This window comes from Homo sapiens, chromosome 21, assembly GCF_000001405.40.
Source record: "Homo sapiens chromosome 21, GRCh38.p14 Primary Assembly".
Lineage (NCBI taxonomy): Eukaryota > Metazoa > Chordata > Mammalia > Primates > Hominidae > Homo > Homo sapiens.
In genome coordinates this window covers 41,212,233-41,235,220 of record NC_000021.9, presented here as the reverse complement: position 1 = coordinate 41,235,220, position 22,988 = coordinate 41,212,233, and the positions used below count along the sequence as shown (strand labels likewise).

Here is a 22,988-nt window from a genome sequence, read left to right as displayed (position 1 = left end):
CCTTCAAAACTATTTATTACACTCAAATATTAACAGTGGCCAGCTGGGGTGGCAGGATTGGAGGTGGGAGGACTCCTATTCTTGTGGTTAGGTCCCTCCATGTTTGCATGCATTATTTTTATAATCAGGAGAAATATGTTATTTTACGAAGGTCTGGCAAACGGATTTGGGGGAAACAGCTGATTCTAACTTCATAATGGGGTACAGAATATAAAGATGGTTGGCTTTTAATATTTGCCTACTATCTTGGTTCACTCCACCGTGATCATAAAGTAAGAGAGGCATTCAGTGAATGTTTTCTGTGCGCAGATCTCCCGACAATGGGCAGGTACAAAAACAGAAAAGTGACCACAGAGGGTCCTTAGAGCACTAAGGGATCCACCAGAAATTACCCAGGTAACATGCAGTCAGGTCTTTGAAATGGGGTATTTGAAGATTGGCGGAATGCCAAGTGTTAGTGCCAATATAAATTCAGATGTGCCTGCCACATGGGAGGAGATGAACACGCTTATGTTGAATAGCAATAAAAATACTGAATTATTCAGTCCATTTTGACAATTTGGGTTCATTCCTCAAGTTCAGAAATATACAAAGACTAATTATCTTGAAATGCTTGGAGAATAGGATCTAGAACAGAGGTTGGCAATTTCTTTCCATAAAGAAACAAATAATAGACGTTTTAGGTTTGTAGGCCATGGGATCTCTGTGATAACTACTCAGCTCTCAAACGTAATGTGGAAGCAGCCACAGACAATGTGTAAGTAAACTTGCATAGCTGCATGGCTGTGTTCTGATAGAACTTTATTTACTAAAACAGGCAGCAGGTCAGATTTGGCTCATGGGCTAGAGTTTGCCAACTCCTGGTGTATTAGTCTGTTTTTACACTGTGATAAAGGCATACCTAAGACTGGGTAATTTATAAAGAGAAAGAAGTTTAATGGGCTCACAATTCTACGTGGCTGGGGAGGCCTCACAATCATGGTGGAAGGTGAAAGGCATGTCTTACATGGGGAAGGGAAGAGAGAAATGAAAGCCAGTGAAAGGGATTTCCCCTTATAAAACCATCAGATCTCGTAAAACTTATTCACTGCCACGAAGACAGTGTATGGGGAAAAACCGCCCCCTTGATTCAATTATCTCCCACTGGGTCCCTCCCACAATACATGGTAATTATGGGAGCTACAATTCAAGATGAGATTTGAGTGGGGTCACAGCCAAACCATACTACCTGGTCTGGTAGAGTAATCGTTTGTTGTTGCTGAGATGGAGTCTCGCTATGTCACCAAGGCTGGAGTGCAATGCTGCCATCTCAGCTCACTGCAACCTCCGCCTCCTGGGTTCAAGCGATTCTGCTGCCTCAGCCTCCCTAATAGCTGGGATTACAGGCGCATGCCACCATGCCCAGCTAATTTTTGTATTTTTAGTAGAGATGGGGTTTCACTATGTTGGTCAGGCTGGTCTCAAACTCCTGAACTCAGGTGATCCACCTGCTTCAGCCTCCCAAAGTGCTGGGATTACAGGCGTGAGCCACCTTGCCCAGCCCTGGTAGAGTAATTGTATCTTTCCTAAACAGTCTAAAATGCTATGACTTCCTTTTGAAAAGTTTAGTTTCACTCTGTCCAGGCTATAGAAAACTCTGTAGAATTTGTAGTGTTAGTAAGAACCTGAACCAGCCTGCATATCTATTTAGCATGTCTTCTCTAGTTTCCTGCTCAGGTTGCTGGTCTCCTTACAGAGGGAGCACTCTGGATATTTTGGTGTCATTTCCAGAGACAGCAGAGGCAGCTGGAGTTATACTGCCTGGGTTCAAATATGAGTTCAATCCCTTATTAGCTGTGTGACCCAGGGCCAAGTTATTTATTTCTCTATGCCTCGGTTTCCTCAACTAAAAAATGGTGATAATATAATACCATCCCTCGTGAAGTTAATTATGCAGATTAAAAGAGTTAATATTGTAAAGCATGTAGAACAAAAGCTTGGAACACAGGAGATATGCCACAAAATAGCTGCTATTATTATAATTAATCATTTGCTGCCTTTTTTCAGGCTATGAGTTATTATTAGAAAATTCAAGTCTGGTAATCCCAGCACTTTGGGAGGCGAGGCAGGTGGATCATGAGGTCAGGAGATCGAGACTATCCTGGCTAACACGGTGAAACCCCGTCTCTACTGAAAATACAAAAAATTAGCCAAGTGTGGTGGCGGGCGCCTGTAGTCCCAGCTACTCGGGAGGCTGAGGCAGGAGAATGGCATGAACCCGGGAGGTGGAGCTTGCAGTGAGCCGATATCGTGCCACTGCACTCCAGCCTGGGCAACAGAGCGAGACTCTGTCTCAAAAAAAAAAAAAAAAAATTCAAGTCTGTTAGGCCATGTTTGCATTGCTATAAAGGAATACCCAAGGGTGAATAATTCATAAGGAAAAGAGGTATGATTTTGGCTCATGGTTCTGTAGGCTGTGCATGAAGCATGTTGCTGGCATCTGCTTCTGGTGAGGCCTCAGGAAGCTTCCACTCAAGGTGGAGGGCGAAGGGGGACACAGTACATTACATGGTGAGAGCTGGGGCAAGAGAGAGAGGAGGAGGTGCCTGGCTCCTTTAAACAACCAGCTCTCATGTGAACTAACGGAGCAAGAACTCACTCATCACCTTGATGAGAGCAACAAGCCATTCATGAGGGATCTGTCCCCATGACCCAAATGCCTCCACTGAGGCCCCAGGTCCAACACTGGGAATCACATTTCAACATGAGATTTGCACCCAAAGCATATCATCAGGATGTTTTTGTTTGTTTGTTTGTTTTCTGGAAAATGCTCCTATAGAGCTACTCTTACTGAATCTAAAGCTGTCTCATTCTAAAGTCCAACCACCCCATGAAAGGAGCAAGTGTGTGTGGGGTGTCTCAGCTAAGGAGGTCAAGGCGAGGTGGTGACGCTTCAAGCTCTTGTGCAACCGGTGTCTAAACGGCAGAGTTCCTCTCTGCCCTGCACCAGCGCTGTCCAACAGAACCTCCTGTGACGACAGAAATATCCTGCCCAATACGCTGGCCGCTTGTGACTAATGAACACTTGAAATGCGATTATAGTGCAACTGAAAGACCGAACTTCTATTTAACATTCATTTAAATTTAAATAGCCACATGTGACTTGTGGCTAGCCTTGTAGAAAGCACAGTCCTAGATAATGTTAAAAAAAAAAAAAAAAAGGTAATTCTCAGTTCATATTCATATTCTCTGGGTTCCTTGAACTAAACCTCTGAGTAAAACCCCAGAGAAGAATCATTCATAAGTGACTCTAGGGGTTATTATTAGCGTAGAGTTTCCAGCACTTTAAATGAAAAACATGCCTTCATCTTCATTTTCTAACGTCCCACCTCTTGCGACTAAAATGCTTTGGCTCTCAATTGCTCTGCACAATAATTAAATACATGGAGCAAGAAACCTGGATGGGCTTCTCCTTGGCAATGTCCATTCTGGGTGCTCAGAAACAGCAATCAATCAGGGATGTGGGTGGCCAGGAAAAAGCCTGCTCACAGTAATAAAAACACTTTGAACCAAATTCAGAAGATGTTCTGCCTCTGATAAGAGTGCTCAGGGAATGCAGGATTAAAAAGTGAAATCAATTGAACTGAGGGGAAAAGAGCTACAGAACGTTTTATTATTTCAAAAGAAACCTGCTGTTGGTTGCAGAGAACACGAAAAGAGAAGGTGGATGTGCAGAATTCTAGAGTTCAATCCTTGGGTCAGCTCTGGTTCTCCTAAGCCATTCGACCCAGGGAATGCTGAGTCTCCTAAAGAATTCTGCTCAGGACTTCCCTGGGGCTCTCAGGGTCTGAAATCTACCCGTGGGCTTACTGTCCTGGCCCAGGTGACCGGATGCCCCTCTTAATCTTCTGTGATTCTCGAAGTCACCAGACCTGAATGCATGAGACCCCCTGAGGTTCAGGGTCAGCTCAGCCTGCCCAGCCTGGCGGTTCATCAACATCCTCAATAACGTTAAATGCTCACAGGCTCCAAAACAGCAAGTCCCCTTCTACTAGGCAAATGATGGACATGCTTGAGAAATGATCTCAATAATCAGGTAAAAATATCTGTCCTCATTGAATGGAAAGCCATTTGATCTGTATCCAGTTTAGCCTCCTTAAAGAAGTCCCTTACAAACATTAGTTGAGGAAAATAAATTGGTCTCTTGCTCTGTGAGCTTCAACCCGGATATAGTACAGAAGTAAGGAGACATTTTAATGGAAATATACTTAATCTCCTGAATAGATTCGTGGAGGGTCAAGGGATGAGTATACTGGATCTCTCTTCAAGCCAACTAGCTGGAGGTGAGATTTTATTGGCTAAAAAAGATGTACATTTAAAAAATACATGATCTTTTCTTTTCTTTTTTTCTTTTTTTGCTCTATAGTAACTCATTGGAACATTCACCACCATGAAAAGATGGATTCTGATAAAGACGAGCTCACAAATGACTAATGGTAGCCTGACATCTCATTCCATAAATCAAAGAGATCTTGTCAAAGAACCCCACGCCAAATCTCCAATTACTGTAACATGTTTCAGGAAGCATTAGACCTGAATATCCAAAGACTGAGGACGTGAATCAGAGGCGGACAAACCCAACCAGAACCTTATTATAACTAAGAGAGATCAGAAGCACAAGCAAATACAGACACATCACAGGGCAGAGAGCTGCAGCTCAGAAAAGAAACCTTTGTCAAAAATTGAGAAGGCAAAAGGACAGTCTCTTGGCTCCCATCAAATACAATGGTTGAAAGTATAACTTAGGCCAGCTCTAAAGTTACACGAAAGCATTAGACAAATTAATTATACATAATTGACATTGAAAGAAAATATTCATATCTTTCAATCATAAAGCATATCAACCATAATAAAGCATGTAAAAAGCAGATAAAAGGAAACAAGTTAATATCAATCTAAGAATTTAATCTGCAAAGCAAGCATGGTAGCAGGGATGCAGCTGAAGGAATAGAACTCGCCTCAAACGCAGAAGTGGGATGCGTCACATCTGATTCAGCCAAGAAGAAACCTTACAGTTCTGTTGAAGAATGGTCTCTTGAAAAGAAAGGCGGTACCAGGGTAGACACCCAAAAGGTGCGTGATGTGTTATATGTAATAAGTCAGTCTCTGCAGTACTCGCAAATAAGGAAGGTACACTGAATTTGAATGGTGGAAGTGGCAATGGGGTGAAACCAACCATTGAGGGGCTTTCCCCAGACACTGGTGTGTTCTTTCTCTTTTTATTTACCCACAAAAGAAGAAACAGATCAGAACCTTGAGTGGTCAGAATGGTGGCAAGAAATCCTGAATTATCTTGTGAGATTAGCAGGAGGGAAGGCTTAGTCATCAAATGAGTTCTGGATGATCCCAGTTTTCATATTCATCAAATGCATATGGACTAGAGAAGCCCAAAGGATGGAAAACAGGAACCATCTGCCACTTGAATGCAAAACAGGGCTAGCAGGTAAGTAAGAGAGATGTGTCCCACGGTAGCCTGAAAGAGAACCACAGCTCAACCAAACACTGAACACAGTTGAAGGGAGCTGAGAAAGATGCGGTGGGTTGTCTACGGTTGATGAAATATTGCACATAGTCTTGATAATGCAGAGTATTATTTACCCTTGAAGGTTTCAACAATTGCCTCTGCATAGCGAAAGGATGTGTGGATTGAGAAGCATACTTTGACCTTGATGGACTCTGGCGATGAGCGGCTGCCACAGAACTGCTATTTATCTGCCATGAAAAAAGTAGCCATCCACAGGGCTTGACTTGCATGGTTCCCTTTAAATCTGGAAAGTCACCATCCACATCACCCTAACCTTGACTTTACTGTGCTTTACTGCTTCTTTCTGTTGTATCTTGCATCTACAGATGATGAGAGAAAAACCTATTCTAAGTGGGAAAGAATTGCTAAACGAGGAAATGCAAGCTCCACGTGTGTTGGTTCTGCCCCTGTGTGCTGAGCCCCAGTGAGGGGGAAACGTGGAAAACGTGTCGTACAGACTAGAGCCCAGCAGTGGAAACAACACAGGGCTGGGACTATCAGGGACTATTCAGATAAGCGGTTCTCAATGGGGAAGGTCCTGTCCCCTAGGGGAAGTTTTGGAAACTTTGGGGGTGTGTTTGATAAGCATGCTGGTTATCCTGGAATGTGAAGGGCAGTCATGCAAAATGAAGTATTGTTCCCATCCCACACCACTTTCCAAAGTCGCTCTGGGCATCAACATGGGTGAAATCTGCTGGATCATATGAGCACAGAATGCACCTCCCATTCACATATGCATACCATCTTTTCTACACAGGTTTAGTATACATTGCATATTCGCTACTATGGAAATCCAGGGAAGCTGATTCTCTTTCTGTTTTTCTTGGAACTTTCCTAAGATTCTTGTCCATTCTGGAAAATCACATCAGCAACTGATAGAGTTTGGATATCTGTCCCCTCCAATTCTCATGTTGAAATTTGATCCCCAGTGTAGGAAGTGGGGCCTGGTGGAAAGTGTTTGCGTAGTGAGGTCGGATCTCTCAAGAATGGCTTTGTGCCTTGCCCATAATAATGACTGAGATCTCACTCTGTTAGCTCCAGGGAGGGCTGATCGATTGTTGAAAAAAAGTCTGGCACGTCCTTCCCCTACCCTTGCTTCCTCTCTCCCATGTGATCTCTGCACACTGGCTCTGCTTCACCTTCCACCATGACTGGAAGCAGCCTGAGAGCCTGGCACCATGCTTCTTGTACAGCCTGCAGAACCATGAGCCAAATAAACCTCTTTTCTTTATAAACTCCCCAGCCTTGGGTATTCTCTTATAGCAGCACAACAGTCTAAGACAGCAAGCTGAGCTGCTTGGGGTGTGTGAGTGTAAGTCAGCTTGCCTTGATCAGTCTACACTGGGTGTACATGTCCATGGTGATGTTAACTCACCTCCAGCATCTGCCTACTGCGTGGTCTACCAGCACCACGGAGCCAGAGTGTTCACGTACTGAGGTACTGATTAGCCGGTTATACATTACTTCCCTTGTATTCCCCCCATATGACGTCAGGGCACTTTGAGCTGTGTATGTAGATAAGTCATATGACCTTTGCATTTACTTCAGGGAATGACAAAGCACTTGTTATAAAAAGCAGGTGTTGGCTGAAGGTTTGGGGACTGCTGGCCTCAAAGCTTGAACTTGGGCAAGTCCCCTGTCTCTCTGAACTCCTGTGCCGCAGGAATCAAAATGAGGGGTTTGGACCAACTCCAAGTCCTGTTCCATGATGAGCAGTCCAGAGTGAACAGTTGGAGGTGAGGGCTGTTTGGGGACTGAGGACTTGGATGAATCACAGATCTGAGTGGGACGGGGCAGCATAAGCCATCGTAAACCAAACCTCTGCTGCACACACAGAGAGAAACACCACCACGACTTCTACACACGTTTGTGGTTATAGCAACAGCTGGGCACATAGTGATCATAGGCAGGAGTTGTATCCGGGAATATCAATGAAGAAAGCTTACCAACACATGAAGCCATAAACCAAGCTATAGGTTCCTTGAGGGAGGGGCCAGCCATATTTTTCTGAAGCCTCATAGAGCACTGGCCACCACAGCCCTCTCCCCAGCAAGCACCTGCAGCCATACGTGCAGGAGGCCCCATCATTTATGGCACCAAAGTGGAGCCCAGGATGTGGTGTAGGTAGCATAGATATACAGGGTTTCCTCTATGCTTTCTTTCATACACAGCAAATCATCTGGCTTTATTAAATTGCCTGGCATTTTCAGAAGACTTCAGTTATTCTTTCCCCCTCCTTTTGTCCCCAACTAGAGCTGGCCTTTATTTCCCGGAACAAAACACTGAGGATAAGGAAAGCGAGAAAGGGAAGTCAGGAAAAGAATTTACAGTAGGGAAACCTAATGTGACAGTTCCGAGCCTCTAGAAGGTTCATGACCCTAAAAAACAAACCAGCATGTCAGCTTACCTGTTCTGTCCGTTGAATTTAAATTTACCTGTTCTGTCCGTTGAATTTAAATTTACCTGGCTGTCTGTTGAATTTAAATTTCAGAATCGTAAAAATAGTTGTGACATCAAAACGTGCACAGCATTAGAGCAGCTTCCAGTTCACAGAGGGCGGTGACTCTAGACCCCACGGGCTCCTGCAGAGCTGAAGGCTGCCACAAGCCGCTGGGGGCCTCCCCACAACCCCACCCAGGGCTGCTCGGAAGCCTGCATGGGCAAGGCTTGTTCTATTCCAGAGACCTCCATCAGGCTACACTTTTTTTTCTCAACTCCACCCCATAATTGCTCATGTGCAGCCCCAGTCTTGGCCCTTAATACTTTGTGCTCACAAAACTCACTCTTCCAAATGAGTGTTGCAAACCAACCCACAGAAATGGCTTCCATGAACCACACCGTAACCCCTACTGAACTATGCAAAGGTGGGTTTCCATGTATCCCTTCAGCTGAGGAAGCAAACCCACACCCTCGGCCAGAGTGGCCTCACAGACTCCCAAGACCTCGTCCCCTGCTCCAGCCCACCTCCACTGCAGAACTAAAGCTGCTGCAATAAACACCAAAGGGCCACAAGCTCCCTGCGACTTGGGATAACTAAAGGAGTTGTGTTTGACTTGGATTTTTAGAAAATGAATCTCATGTAAATGCGTGAAGGCCATGAGGAGACTCCTGCTGTGGATTTGTGGATGGAATGAACATGTACATATGCATACACATGTCCACATGTGTGTATACATACACATACATATTGGTATCCCCCTTAAAATGAAACAGCTTTCTGGCTGTCATGCTCTGGTGCATTTTGAAGCATGTTGATCATGCAGTGCCCCGGCCCAGCACACCAGCCAAGGGGCCAGCGCTTACCTCTCTGTGTCAAAGTACGTGTCTATGTAGGAGTGCGGGGTTCCTGCCACGGCAAAGTTACTGCTTCCAGTGTCAACGAGAATCTGTAGCTTTTATGTTTTAAGGAGAAAAAAAAAATAGAAAGCATCAAGTTATTTTAATAAGGCAATACTCTTGAATAATGTTTTTAAAACTAAGTAGCAAGAATAATTTATCAGTTGGAACAAAAAAAAAGTATACTGACGAGGAGAATAGAAAAAGCTATTATAAAATTGAAATCTGAACAAAGTCCATGAAGAAGCTTGCACTGGAGAGGGGAAATGGTCCTGTCTCAGATACACACTGAGCCTTAAAAGAGAATGGATTCTGTTAAATAACTGGGTTTCCTTTTTAGGCCGTTGGTGCTTGAAACCAAGGCTGAGCTCTTTCTTATCTCTGGGCTTTCGGCCAGGTTTAGCCCTCCACTGGGCTCACCCTCCCCTTGCTTTTCCAAATCTCGCCTGGAAACCCCGATCCAACGTGACCTCCCCTCCCCAGGATGCCTCCCAGCCTCCTCCTGGCATGTGGTGGCCCCTCACCTCCATGCATGGCACCTGGGCACACCTGTCACAAGCATTGTTTTTTAGGTTATTTGAGATATAATTTGCATATAATAAAAACGCAAGATCTTAAATGCTCACCTGGTGAGTTTTGGCATGTGTGCCAAACCAAGATGCAGAAACTTCTATTCACCTCAAAAGGTTCCTTTATGCCCCTTTCCCTTCTGGTCCCCAGAAGCAACCACTTTCTGGCTTTTGTGACCACGGACTGGTTTCATCAGTTCTTGAACATTCTATACATGTAATGATGTAGGCTTCTGTGTGTTTGTTTTCTTAGCATAGCTTCTTAAGTGCAACTTGTCTTTGAGACGTCCTCATGTTGCATCAGCCCTTTGTTTCTCTTCACGATGCAGGGACACACCATGATTTGCCTCTGCTTTCGACGGGCCCTTGAGTTGTGTCCATTTTGAGGCTACTATGAATAAGACAGCTATGGACACACTGTACAGGTCTTTTTGCAGACATATATTCTCATTTCTCTTGGGTAAATACCTAGGAGTGAAACTTTTTGGATCATAGACTAGATATTTTTTTTTTTTTTTTGAGATGGAGTCTCGCTCTATCGTTCAGGCTGGAGTGCAGTGGCACGATCTCGGCTCAGTGCAAACTCTGCCTCCCAGGTTCACGTCATTCTCCTGCCTCAGCCTCCTCAGTAGCTAGGACTACAGGTGCCCGCCACCGAGCCCGGATAGTTTTTTGTAATTTTAGTAGAGACGGGGTTTCACCGTGTTAGCCAGGATGGTCTTGATCTCCTGAAGTCGTGATCTGCCCGCCTCGGCCTCCCAAGGTGCTGGGATTACAGGCGTGAGCCACCGCACCCAGCCGACTAGATACATTTTTACTGTTTTAAAGAAAATTGCTGAACACGTCTGCTATGTGGGTCCACCAAGTTATATTCCCATGAGCAATGGGTCCATGGGCCATTTGGTTTATGTGCTCTGTATCCTCCCCCAAATTTGGTGGTGTTGGTCTTTTCAATGTGAACCATGCTAACGGGTGTGGAACGGTATTTCACTGTGGTTTTAATCTGCAGTCCCCTAGGGACCAATGCTATTGGGCTGTTGCCCTGTATCCCACTGTTTCACTCATCTTCCCCAGTGAACGATGTCTCAGGGCAGGTGTGTATGTTACTTATCATTTTATGCCCAGCATCTATCCCAAGTCCAGACACATGCCCAGTTGTTTACAGAATGAACACTTCTTTTAGAAATAAACACAGACCACGTAGATATAGCCCAAAAGGTTGAAAAACAGGTTTAAAAAGCTATAGACTAAAGAAATCAAAATCGGATGGGCACAGTGGCTCACGCCTGTAATCCCAGCACTTTGGGAGGCCGAGGTGAGTGGATCCTGGCTAACACGGTGAAACCCCATCTCTACTAAAAATACAAAAAATTAGCCGGACGTGGTGGCACACGCCTGCAGTCCCAGCTACTTGGGAGGCTGAGGCAGGAGAATTGCTTGAACCCAGGAGGCAGAGGTTGCAGTGAGCCGAGATCGCACCACTGCATTCCAGCCTGGGTGACAGAACGATACTCCATCTCAAAAAAAAAAAAAAAAAAAAAAATCAAAATAGGCAAGTTTTTGCCTAGGATTATCTTACCAACAATTATAAAATAATTTTGCCAAGGACCTCAGTTTAGCTGGGACCAGTGTTTGTCTCTGAGCTGACCCATCAGCAGGATCTGACTCAGTCTCGCTCCCTCTTCCTGGAAATATTCTTCACTCTGGATCCCGGGGCCCCACACTTTCCTGATTTCCTCCTTCTCTGACTCCTCACTTTAGTCTCACGGACAGGTGCTTCTCATCTCCCCACCCTGCTGAACTTTCCCGGGGCTCAGCTCAGGAATCACTTCTGGGATCCATCCACTCACACCCTTGGGGTCCCCACTGAGTCTCAAGGCTTTAAATGCCATCCGCATGTTGACGAACCCCAAGTGTACCTCTCGGCCCCGGGCTGCGCATGCACTCTGGGCTCTACCTATTCAACACCTTTCCCTGGCTGGCTAATAGTCATCTTTTATGGGTTGAGATGTGTTTTCCAAAAAGAGATGCTGAAGTTCCTAACCCCTGCACCTGTGAATGTGCCCTTATTTGGAAAAAAGGTCTTTACAGAGATAATCAAGTGAAGGTGAGGACCACAGAGGTGAGCTCTAATCCAGTATCACAGGCGTCCTTCCAGGGAGACGAAAATGCACGGAAAGCAGACACACGGGGGGTGCCAAGTAACAGCAGAGACAGGGATGGGAGTGACGGAGTCACAAGAATGCCAAAGGACTGACAACCATGGCCAGGGGCTGGAAGAGGAAAGGACGGCTCCACCTGGAGTCTCAGAGGATGCATGGCCCCACCAACACCTTGATTTCAGACTTCTTGCCTCTAGAACTGTGAAAGAATACATTCCTGGGGTTTTTTTTTTTTTTGACAGTGTCTCACTCTGTCACCCAGGCTGGAGTACAGCAGCACAATCATCACTTGCTGTAGCCTCAAACTCCTGGGCTCAAGGGATCCTCTCACCTCAGCCTCCAAAGTAGCTGGGACCACAGGCGTGCACCACCATGCCTGGCTAATTTATTTTTATTTTTTGTAGAGATGGGGTCTCACTATGTTGCCCAGGCTGGTCTTGAACTCCCGGGCTCAAGTGATCCTCTCGTCTTGGCCTCCTAAAGTGCTGGGATTACAGGCATGAGCCACTGCACCTGGCCCATTCCTGTTGTTTTCAGCTCTCAGTTTGTGTACTTAGTTACAGCAGGTCCAGGAAACATCTTGAGATGGGACATCATCTCACGCCTGGCGTGTCCCGAATTGAGCTCCAGCTGCCCCCACCCCTGCTCTCCTGGTGGACTTGACCATCTCGGTCGACAGCAGCTCCATCAGGTCAGGCCAGGCCATGCCGGAGGTGATCCCTAGGGCTTCCTTCCCCTCATGGCCCACATCCAGCCACCAGGAGGTCCCGAGGGCTCCACCTTCAGGTTCTGGCCCACACCGGCCCACCCCTCACCTCCTCCAAGGAGTCTGTGGGGGTCCACACCACTGTCATCCCCTCCTCGTCCTCACTGGTGTCCCTGCTTCCTTCCTAGGCCTACTTCCAACCAGCAGCCACCACAGTCCTATTACAGTTAAGTCAGAGGGAGTCAGCCCTCCACCTCCCATGGCTCTCACGTCACCCAGAGTAACTGGCGAAGTCCTCACATGGCCTGCTGAGTCACTCGCCATGCCCTGACATCACTCCTCCCAGCCACGCTGACCACCAGGCCACTCCGTGAAAGCCCCAGACATCCCCCAGGGGCAGGGCCTTTCCCCTGGCCACCTTGCTGGGGTGGGGGCTCTTCCCCAGGATACCCAGGTCCAGGTCCATGTGGCACGGCCCATCGCTCCCTTCCAGGCTTCCTTCAACGCCACCTTCTCCACGAAGCTGACCCTGGCTGGCCCTTTGGGAGAACTGCTGTTCCCAGTCTCCTGCCGGCCTGTGCATCCCTTTCCCTCCCATAACACCACACCTTTCACATAACAGTGACAGCAGACACTGAACACCGCCTGCAGTGGGCTGGGCACTGCTGTACGTGCTTCCTATATCCATTAGCTTATTTCAACCTCATAACAGAGCTCTGAGGGCAGCACAGTCCTCACTCCACGTCACAGATGCAAACACTGAGGTGCAGAGAGTCTGACTTGCTCAACTCTACAAGGGTAAGTGGCAGAGCTGAGGCTGGAACCCAGAGTCAGACTCCGAGCGCATTCTTGTAACCAACTCAGCCACTGCCTGGGCCCCGTGCGCAATCATGCCATTCACGGGGTCCCGACAGCTCCTGCTGCCTCCGCCCCACCAGCGTGAAGCCTCCCTCTGACAGGGATTTTTGCTGTTTGCTGCTCTGTCTGCCGTGCATGCCTGTAACAGGGCCAGGCACACAGTAGACACTGACACTTTTTTTTTTTTTTTTTTTTTTTTGAGACAGAGTCTCGCTCAGTCACCCAGGCTGGAGTGCAGTGGCTCTATCTCAGCTCACTGCAAGCTCCTCCTCCTGGGCTCACGCCATTCTCCTGCCTCAGCCTCCCGAGTAGCTGGGACTACAGGCTCCCGCCACCACGCCCAGCTAATTTTTTTGTATTTTTTTAGTAGAGACGGGGTTTCACCGTGTTAGCCAGGATGGTCTCGATCTCCTGACCTCGTGATCCACCCTCTGCGGCCTCCCAAAGTGCTGGGATTACAGGCGTGAGCCACCGCGCCCGGCCGACACTCACACATTTGTGGAATCGACAACAAAATTATTTGCAAAGGTAAAATCAAAGACACTCGTTTTGCCCTTGGTACAAAGATAACAGATTCCAAAATAATAAGCAAGAATAATGCAGTCTGTGCACACAAACCAGCTGTGTGTAGGTTCTGCACACACAGTTTTCGAGCTGTTGGCAGAAACTGTCAGACTCCTACTTCCCTAATGTACTAAGTGCCATTGCCCCTTCCCCTGCAGGAGGCCATGGAAATAGTGGAGAGGAATGAACGACAGTCCTGGGCATCTGCCAGGGGCAGTGCTGTAACCTGTGGTCACACCCCTGTGTTTTCTCAAACGAAAAGCTACTTTGTGACTTCAGAGAATTCCCTCCCGACCAATGAAGATCATGTTCACAAAAACTTTGTAGGAATGGTAGGGAAACAGATTTGGGGGATGAAGGTTTGAAGTGAATCTAAAACAATGGCAAAGGCACTCTACTGTTTTTTTTTTTTTTTTTTAATATACTTTTTTTTTGAGATGGGGTCTCACTGTGTTGCCCAGGCTGGTCTTGAACTCCTGACTTCAAGTGATCCACCCGCCTCAGCCTCCCAAAGTGCTGGGATTACAGGCATGAGTCACCACACCTGGCCAGCAAAGGCACTCTAAATAATGAGACTATAAATGTTACTTTAAACCTCTTCGTTTTAGTAAATGAATGCTCTATTCTTAATTTCGATTTACAAATACACAGCTCCTAGAAAATGTGTAAGAGCTTGCTCCTTTACAGAGGTGTTTGGGTTGATTTCAGATAGAATGTAATCTCACATATATAAAAATATATTTACATATATATAATGTATTATATATAATAATTTATTATCTGGTTCTTCATCCAAATATTAGATGCTCAACAGCCCCAAGTTTCAAAGCCACAGTTTGGGTTAGATTTAATCCTAATTTCTCATAAACGTACAAAAGGGCATGAAAGATTGTGAAATACGTATGTGATTTCATCCCCATTTCCTGGCATACAACTCCTAAAATCTCTGGAATCTCCAAAGTGATGTGTTTTTGTATGCTGTGAGTTGACTGATGGCTGGCAGCCCCTAGGTAGCTTCGGGATGGGGGCTGGTCACCAGAAAGAGCAAGGCGGGATTAGAGGACTGGGACTTTCAGCCCCACCCCCAACCTTGGGGAGTGGGGAGGAGCTGAAGGTTAAGCTGATCACCAATGGCCAATGGCTTAATCAATCATGTCTACATAACGAAGCTTCCACAAAACCCCAAAAGAACAGGGTTCATTAAATTTCCAGACAGCTGAGGTTCCCGGAGGGTGGCGTGTACAGGGGGGGCACGGAAGTTCTGTACCTGTCCCCCTATACCTCAACCTACACATCTCTTCATCTGTATCTTCTGTAACGCCCTTTATAATAAACCAGTGTACATGTCTTCCTGAGTTCTGTGAGTAAATCTAGCAAATTAATCAAACCAAGGATAGGATCCTGGAAATCTTCCATTTGTAGCCGATCGATCAGAAGCACAGGCAATGACCCGGAGCTCGCAACTGGCATGGAAGCTGGGGGCAGTCTTGGGGGACTGGGCCCTCACTCTGGGGTCCCACGCCATCCCCAGGCAGACAGTGTAGGAACTGAACTAAATTAGAGGATACGCAGCTGGTGTCTGTCGCAGAACCGATCGATTGTTTGTTGGTGAGGAGAAATCCCCGCACATTTGGTCCCGGAAGTCTTCTGTGTTGATCGTTGTGGTGTGAGAGCAGAGGGAAATCAGTGTGTGGTTTTTCCACTTAGAGGACACCAAGCAAATCTGCATTTACATGGATTTCACAGGAGAGAAATTGTTGGAGGCTGAGTAATTCTTGCATGTATCAAATAGTCAGTAACAGGTCAAAGTAAGTGAAGGAGATCCGTCCCTAGGTCAGTCTGGTTGAACCAGATATTCCTGAAGGACAGGGTTCTCTCTTTTTCTGCTCTTAAATAATAAACACTAAGTTATCAGTAACTCACCACAACCTGATTCTCAAAGGGGGCAGGCATATCAGAATCCCTGCACCATTTTTAAACATTCCCCCAAACTGAATTATTTTAAGAGATGAATTTATCAATTTGCATCCAATTATACACATTTTTCCTCATCCTATCTCTTCCTATGTGACACTGTCTGCTATAATGTTTCTTCTTTTATTCTTTTCATCTTTACTATACAGATTTCTGGTGTTTAATAATTGTTCTGGTGAACTGCAAGCTTTACATCTATTTTTAAATTATTCTAGTCATTTTCTTTACAATTTTATGTGATATATCTTAACCTCTTCTCTTGATTTAGCAACTTAGAATGATATTTTTGGGATCCCCACTCTGCACACTTCTAAAAAAATCAAGAATTGGCTGGGCGCGGTGGCTCACGCCTGTAATCCCAGCACTTTGGGAGGCCGAGGCAGGCAGATCATGAGGTTAGGAGATCCAGACCATCCTGGCTAACACAGTGAAACCCCGTCTCTACTAAAAATACAAAAATTAGCCGGGTGTGGTGGCGCACACCTGTAGTCCCAGCTACTCGGGAGGCTGAGGCAGGAAAATCGCTTGAACCCGGGAGGCGGAGGTTGCAGTGAGCTGAGATCACACCACTGCACTCCAGCCTGGTGACAGAGCGAGACTCTGTCACAAAAAAAAAAAAGTCAAGATGTTTGGAAGGGACAGGGGGTGCTCCAGGATAGGGAGTGATGGGAAGAAGTGCTGGATTATAACATTATTTTTACTTTCATGATATGCCTTTTTGTAATTTTACATAATGCATGAACATCTTTCTTTTTTACCTACCTGCCAATATTTTTTATTTATCATCTGTCAGAATTTCCTTCCATTAAGGAAGATGAGGTGGTGAATGTACCTATGTCACCAGGAATCTGAGTCCCACCAACCTCTCCATAGGTTACACTGTTGTTTATATATTTTCAAGATTTGTTTTTGATACCCATATTTCCCACAGTTGCTTAGTCATTCTATAAGGAAAGAGGTTCTCTCCTTCCTACCAGTCCTCCTGTCTCTGACTTCACCCAGCTCCCCAATGGCTAGGTTTTGTTCAGCCTCCCACGGGCCCCACCCAAAGTTGGACACCATCTTCCCCAAGGGCTTTCATGCTTGCGAGCACCTATCCATGGCCTTTACACTTGAAGAATGATCTGCCTGGGTTTTGTGCATTTGGGTCATATTTTTTTTCTTAACACTTTATATATATGTTTCTCCAGTGTATTTCAACAGTGAGTATTTGTGGAGAAATCTAAAGCATGTCTTATTTTTCCTCATTACACGTGACTTTTTCTCCTTGGTTACTGAAGAATTCTTTCCATAGCCACAAAGTTCTATAGTTGTATTGTTTATATTAGAACCATCGTTCTGTAGTTTTACTGACATATCTTAACATTGGTTGGTCTGATTCAAGTTTCCTGGAAAACGGGACTCACTTTTTACATTAATTTCTTATGGCTGCCTTAACAAACAGCCACAAACTGGTTGGCATGAGATAATATACATTTATTTTCTGGCAGTTCTGGAGGTCAGAAGTCCAAAATCTAGGTGTGGGCGGGGCTGCGCTTCCCACAGAAGCTCCAGGGGAGGGCCCTTCTTGTCTCTCCCAGTTTCTGGTAGGGGCTGGCAGCCCTCAGGCTGTGTCATGGAGGCGTGTCCCCAGGCCTCCCACTCACTTGCTGCTGGCCGCCGCCTTTACTTGCTCCGTCCATCTTCAAGGCTTGCCGGCCTCCAGGCCTCCTTGCTGCCTGCCGAGCTGGCTCTGTGACACCTTCTTTGCATCCAGCTTAGGATTATCACAAGAGCAAAAGCCACTTCTATGGCTGATGTGAAAAGAGCAAGGGCCGGGACCTAAACCATCACTGGGAGGGGGCTCCAAAGTACAACGTGTCCAGCACCCAGGCTGGAAAGCACCGAGGCTCAACCAGCAGATACCTCGCCAAAGCTGCCATGAGCTGCCACAGGGAAGGCACAGGGCCCTGAGTGTTCACCACTGTCTCTGTGTTGGGGATTTAAATGCTTTCTGGAGGCAAGATGAATTTGGAAGTTGCTTGGCTAAAACGGGGTAAAGAGGGAAAGGAGGGGGGTAAAGAGGTAAAGGAGAGACAGAAAACAAACACACAAAAATTCCTTTACAAGGCAAATCAGAGAATACTAGGGCTTGAGAAGAGGACAGTGTGGATGTTAGGCAAGAAACATCAATCGCCCTAAAAAAATAACTAATTGCACAACAGTAGGAAATACGTTTTCTTGGCCATTGAAAGTCACAGATAAGAACAGCTCTAGATTGGGCCGGGCGCAGTGGCTCACGCCTGTAATCCCGGCACTTTGGGAGGCCGAGGCGGGCAGATCACGAGGTCAGAGTTCAAGACCAGCCTGACCAACATGGTGAAACCCCGTCTCTACTAAAAATACAAAAATTAGCCTGGCGTGGTGGCACACACCTGTAATCCCAGCTACTCAGGAGACTGAGGCAGGAGAATTGCTTGAACCCAAGAGGCAGAAGTTGCAGTAAGCCAAGATCGCACCACTGCGCTCCAGCCTGGGTGACAGAGCGAGACTCCATCTCAGAGAAAAAAAAACAAAAAAAGAACAGCTACAGATTTCTGAACAAGACCAGCCTTCCTCCCTGTGCCCACTGTCCATCGTGGAAGCTGTTTCACAACCATTTCTGGGTCTCGCTGGCAACTCTGCACTCAGTAGCTCAGGAGATCCCACACCCGGCCGGTCAGGCTGGCAACGCACGTCCGCGCTGACTGCGACTGCGTAACTAGACAGGGCCAAGGCAGGAACAAGACTTGCCCTCCACACAGCAGCCCCAGTGACAGGGGGACTCTCTCCAGAGACGCTTCACCCTGCTTCCCTCCCTCTGAAGCTCCACCGCAGCCTCTGCATTGCCTCATGACCGGAGCTCGTTCTCACACGCCCAGACCCGGTCCTGCCTCTCAGGGGGTGTCACTCCTCCGCAGAGGCAGGGAACACAAATGCAGAGAAAGTCAGACCAAAGTGTGGACTGCATTCTTTTACACAGGTGATTTCTTCTCATTGCCCAGGCATTCAGCACAACCTTATCTTCCGTGGCAGTTCCAGCAAAAGCTAGTTTTCAAGAAGGTTCAACTCAGAGTCACAGCTTGGCAAAGCCAGTCACCACGATGGTCGTTCCTGGAGCATATGATCTGAGAGAAATGGCCCCAAATAAATAAGGCAGCCACAGAGTCAGGCAAGGGCTGAGTCTCCAGGGCACAGTAAACGCTCTGGGCTGTACATCACATCATGTGTCTGAGCGGCCCGCAGGAGCCACCACCATTTTCTGTGTGGTGACACTGGAAATGGACCTTTCTCGTGTTGAATTCTAGCCAGGACCATCACCCACTTTCACAAGTAGCCTCAACCACAGAGATAAAAATAGTAATGCCACCTGCTCTATAAATTTCACACGACGCGCTCTCAAACAACGGAAAACTCAAACACCCCGGCTGTGGGCTCCTTCCAGGTTCCTCACCTCATGCCACATGCTAGCAATTTAATCTGCCCCTTCCTTTATTCTAGGAATTTCCAAAATTATTTCCTGCCTCTTTGGGTTCAACCTCACGTGCATGTATGCATGTATTCACACACACACACACCAGCCTAGCCCTGGGCCATGTCCCTCCAGCTACATAAAAGGTCATTGAAAATATATATTCTCAAATTCAGGGAATGTTCTTAACTTCCAAGCAAAGCATAACTTAAAATGACTCAAAAGCTCATACGATAGACAGATCCCCACTTTACATCTGAGGAAAACAGAAACGCCTTGGAGATGTGAAACAGCCCATGGAGGTCCCGACGTCCCCGCCCCTGTTCCCTGCTTCCTTCCTGATACTAGGGAGCCTCCCATAGAAGTCACATTCCATTTTTCCAGAACACAATCACAACTAACAAAAACCGGTTTTCCAGCAGAAGCTGGATGGAGTCTTCTACCTTGAAAATCACTGGCTTTTAACTACTCCAACCCTGCCGCCAACATCAGCGGCCTCGAGGGCCTTTGCAGGGCAGATGTGGGTCTTTGCTGTGCTGAACCTGGGGCATGGGGTGAGAGCAGCAAAGATGATGGTGCCTGTGTCCTGGCCCCTGCAGAGTGCAGCATCTAGTAGGGAGAATGGCCTGTCCACCAGGACCTGCCCTTGAAAACCATCTGTGATCCAAGCTGCCAGAGACCTAAGGAGGTGGAACTGCAGGAACTCAGTGGCTAATTTCTTCTCGCCTTCCTAAAAATGGCAAAACCCAAAACACACTCCCTCCAGCTACTGTTCCTTCCCCCTTTGCGGTCAAGCATCCAGCAGTGGGCCACCTCCCGTCTCAATTCCTTTCTCTCTTTCTCTCCTCCACCTGCAGAGATGGAGCTTCTGCCTCAGCTCTCCATGGCCGGCCAAGCTCACCAGTGACCTCCCGTGCTCCAGGCCCACGGTCATCTCTGAGCTCTCCCCTGACCTGTCCAGCCTGCAGGCAGTGCTGGCCGCAAGTGACCAGGCCTCAGTGAAGCTTTGGAAATGCGCCCTCCTGGTTTGCCCCCCACAGTCCTTCCTTCTGATCTCTGCCCTCCCCCCATACCTCTTCCTCTAACTTTACATGGTGTTCCCAAGGCTTCTGTGCCCCTGTCCTGGGTGCATCACCGTCACACAGGAGCCTGTCTTCTCCAGATAATGTCCCCAGCACAGTGCGCCCTCCATGACAGCTGACAGTAGGGCCACATGTGGCTCATCTCTTTGTCACCAGTACCTCAGACAGTGCCTGGGAGCCTAGTAGGTGCTCACTAAACAGTTGTTGAATGAATAAATGAAAGTCAAGGTTAGAGAGACGTTCATGCAGTGAAGGGCAAGTGGCAGAAATGCACATTCCAGGCAAAAGGAAGGTGGCTTGTTCATTTCTAAAGCAAATCTCTTGAGCACCTACCAATTATACAGAAAATCTGAGAGTAAAAGAGTTTAGATGATCTATTCCAGAAGATGTGTGAAAATTCTATGCCCCCACGATGAAAACTGTTCGTCTTTGGCATAGACTTCCTTGACAATATGCCCCAGTTCCAGCAGCCCTGCCCAAAACCGCATCATCAGATTTTACAAAATAATTATAAAAGAGGGATGACCATTATGCACACATCACGGATGGGTAGGAACTAGACATGTCCTGAACGTGGACGTCTTCCTCCTGTGTCACAAGCCCTTTGAGAACAATTCTACCCTCCCATCAAACAAATTCTGTCCACACTTCACTGAGCAGAATGACTGAATGCACGCAGGGCTTGGGGTCCAATCTCCCTCCACCATTCATGTACCAGTGCCTGGCACCTGGAAGAGGTGGGTTCCTCTCCCCAGATCTCTCTGCACCCTCCCTCTTCTAGGAAAGGGGGTGATGACCATTCTCATGGGGTGCTTGTGAGAAGTAAATGCTGTGACACGTGCTCCTCATGGTGCTGGCTCACGGTGAGTGAGCAAATAAACACTAGCGCCGGTTCCACGTGCAATTTTAGCCAGCAAGGTGTGAAAACTGAGTAAACTGAGTTTGCCTCCTGGTGACCAGGGACACACAGTCCACAGCATCCCATGGCACTAAAACCTCTGGACAAGGAAAATGGCTGATTCTGGAGCAATTTGATTCTAAAGGATTTTTCAGGAAGAATCCTTTAGAACTGTTCTTGGAAACAGTCAAAACTTTCTCCCCATGCCGGGCCCTGCCCAGACAAAGCTTACTCTTTTTTTTTTTGAGACGGAGTATCGCTCTGTCACCCAGGCTGGCATGCAGTGGCGCGATCTTGGCTCACTGCAACCTCTACCTCCCGGGTTCAAGCGACTCTCCTGCCTCAGCTTTCTGAGTAGCTGGGACTACAGGCACCCACCACCAAGCCTGGCTAATTTTTTTGTATTTTAGTAGAGACGGGGTTTCACCATGTTGTTCAGGCTGGTCTCAAACTCCTGACCTGGTGATCCGCCCGCCTTGGCCTCCCAAAGTGCTGCGATTACAGGCGTGAGCCACCGTGCCCAGCCAGCTTACTCATTTTTTTCAACAGCATGATTTGTGGGGTTTGATATTCCTTATTTTGTTTTGATGCAAGTAGAAACCACCTCTCACCCCTTCTGCCTGCTGGCTGAGAGTAAACGATAAACCGTACAAAGGCTGTTGCCTTTGAGACCCATGCTAAGTCCTGCGTTCCCCAGAAGGCCTCCCAGCTGCAGCTCTGATTTACTCCTCTCTGACAGCTCATGCCCTGATTTTTGGTGTCTAGGGTTGTCTCGTGTCTTTTATTGTCCTCTAATGTTTCCCGGTTTCCTTTCTTTCCTCTCAATGAGCTTGTAAATTCCTTAAGGACAAAGCTCTTCTTCTTAGTCTCTTTTTGATGGTCCCCACAGTGCCTGCAACTAATAGGAATTCACTAATCACTTGTTCCTTCAGATGGGGAAGCATGTCCATGAGCCCCCACCTGGGAGCAGAGAGAATGCCAATTAGGTCAACAAACCTGCCAAGAAGTTGGAAGTAGCCGGAGAAAGTTCAACAGGCCAAACTCCTAAATCATGTGTGCAAAGAATTAATTTAGATTTTCTAGACATGGCAAGGGTAGGCTAAACTTAGTCAACTTCCCAGCTGCTATATAAATAACCACAAACTTGTCTCTTAAATGTCCAAGTATAAGCAAAGCTAGAAGCGAGAAGACAGCAGAGATTGCTGGTGGCCTACCCATATTCCTTGGGCACTCACTTCAGCTTCTGTAACCTCAGGAGTGAGATTATCTAGTGTCCAAGTCAGGTCTGACGTACCAGGGAGTGAATGCTCCTGGGAGCAGCCCTTGACCAAAAATAAACAGCTGGTGGGTCCAAACCGTTGCTCCCTTACTCCCCAGGCAAACAGTTTGGAGTGGTCTCTGTGTCATCCCCCAGAAGTCCTTGGTGGGGTTGAGCCCCAGATGTGCACTGCAATAGCCCACTCTGAGTGCACCCTGTATTGACCTCCTCCTCCCGCCTACCTCACTTTCCTGCCCCCTACCAGTGTCTCAGGGTAGGGAGAGTGAGAGAAGTTATACTCACACAGTCCTCACCTTATGCTCTGCTGTGCTCTGAATGTCTGTGCCCTGACCCCTAACTTTGTATGATGAACCCTTATTCCCAACGTACTGATATTAGGAGGCAAGGCCTTTGGGAGGCAATTAGATCATGAGTGTGGGGCCCTAAGAGATAGGATTAGTGCCCTTACAAAAGTACGTGAGAGCGCTCGCTCATCCCTTTTGCCATGTAAGGAGACAGAGAGAAGGC

General features: G+C 47.0%; 1 protein-coding gene across 4 annotated transcripts in view, besides 1 other annotated feature; it reads right to left on the bottom strand.

The window, feature by feature from the left end:
* The window catches only part of BACE2 (beta-secretase 2), a 114,371-nt gene that overhangs the window by 47,310 nt on the left and 44,073 nt on the right, over positions 1-22,988 (bottom strand). For all 4 annotated transcript variants that reach the window (NM_012105.5, NM_138992.3, NM_138991.3 and 1 more), the window contains one exon: positions 8,867-8,955. In NM_012105.5, coding sequence (NP_036237.2) covers positions 8,867-8,955 — 89 coding nt within the window. The remainder of the gene's footprint in view (positions 1-8,866; positions 8,956-22,988) is intronic.
* Positions 12,088-12,587: an enhancer, noted in NCBI's record as "H3K4me1 hESC enhancer chr21:42594561-42595060 (GRCh37/hg19 assembly coordinates)". NCBI's record gives its function as "activates a minimal SCP1, AML or CMV promoter by ChIP-STARR-seq in primed H9 embryonic stem cells {active_cell/tissue: H9 hESC(primed)}" and the evidence as "EXISTENCE:reporter gene assay evidence [ECO:0000049][PMID:30033119]".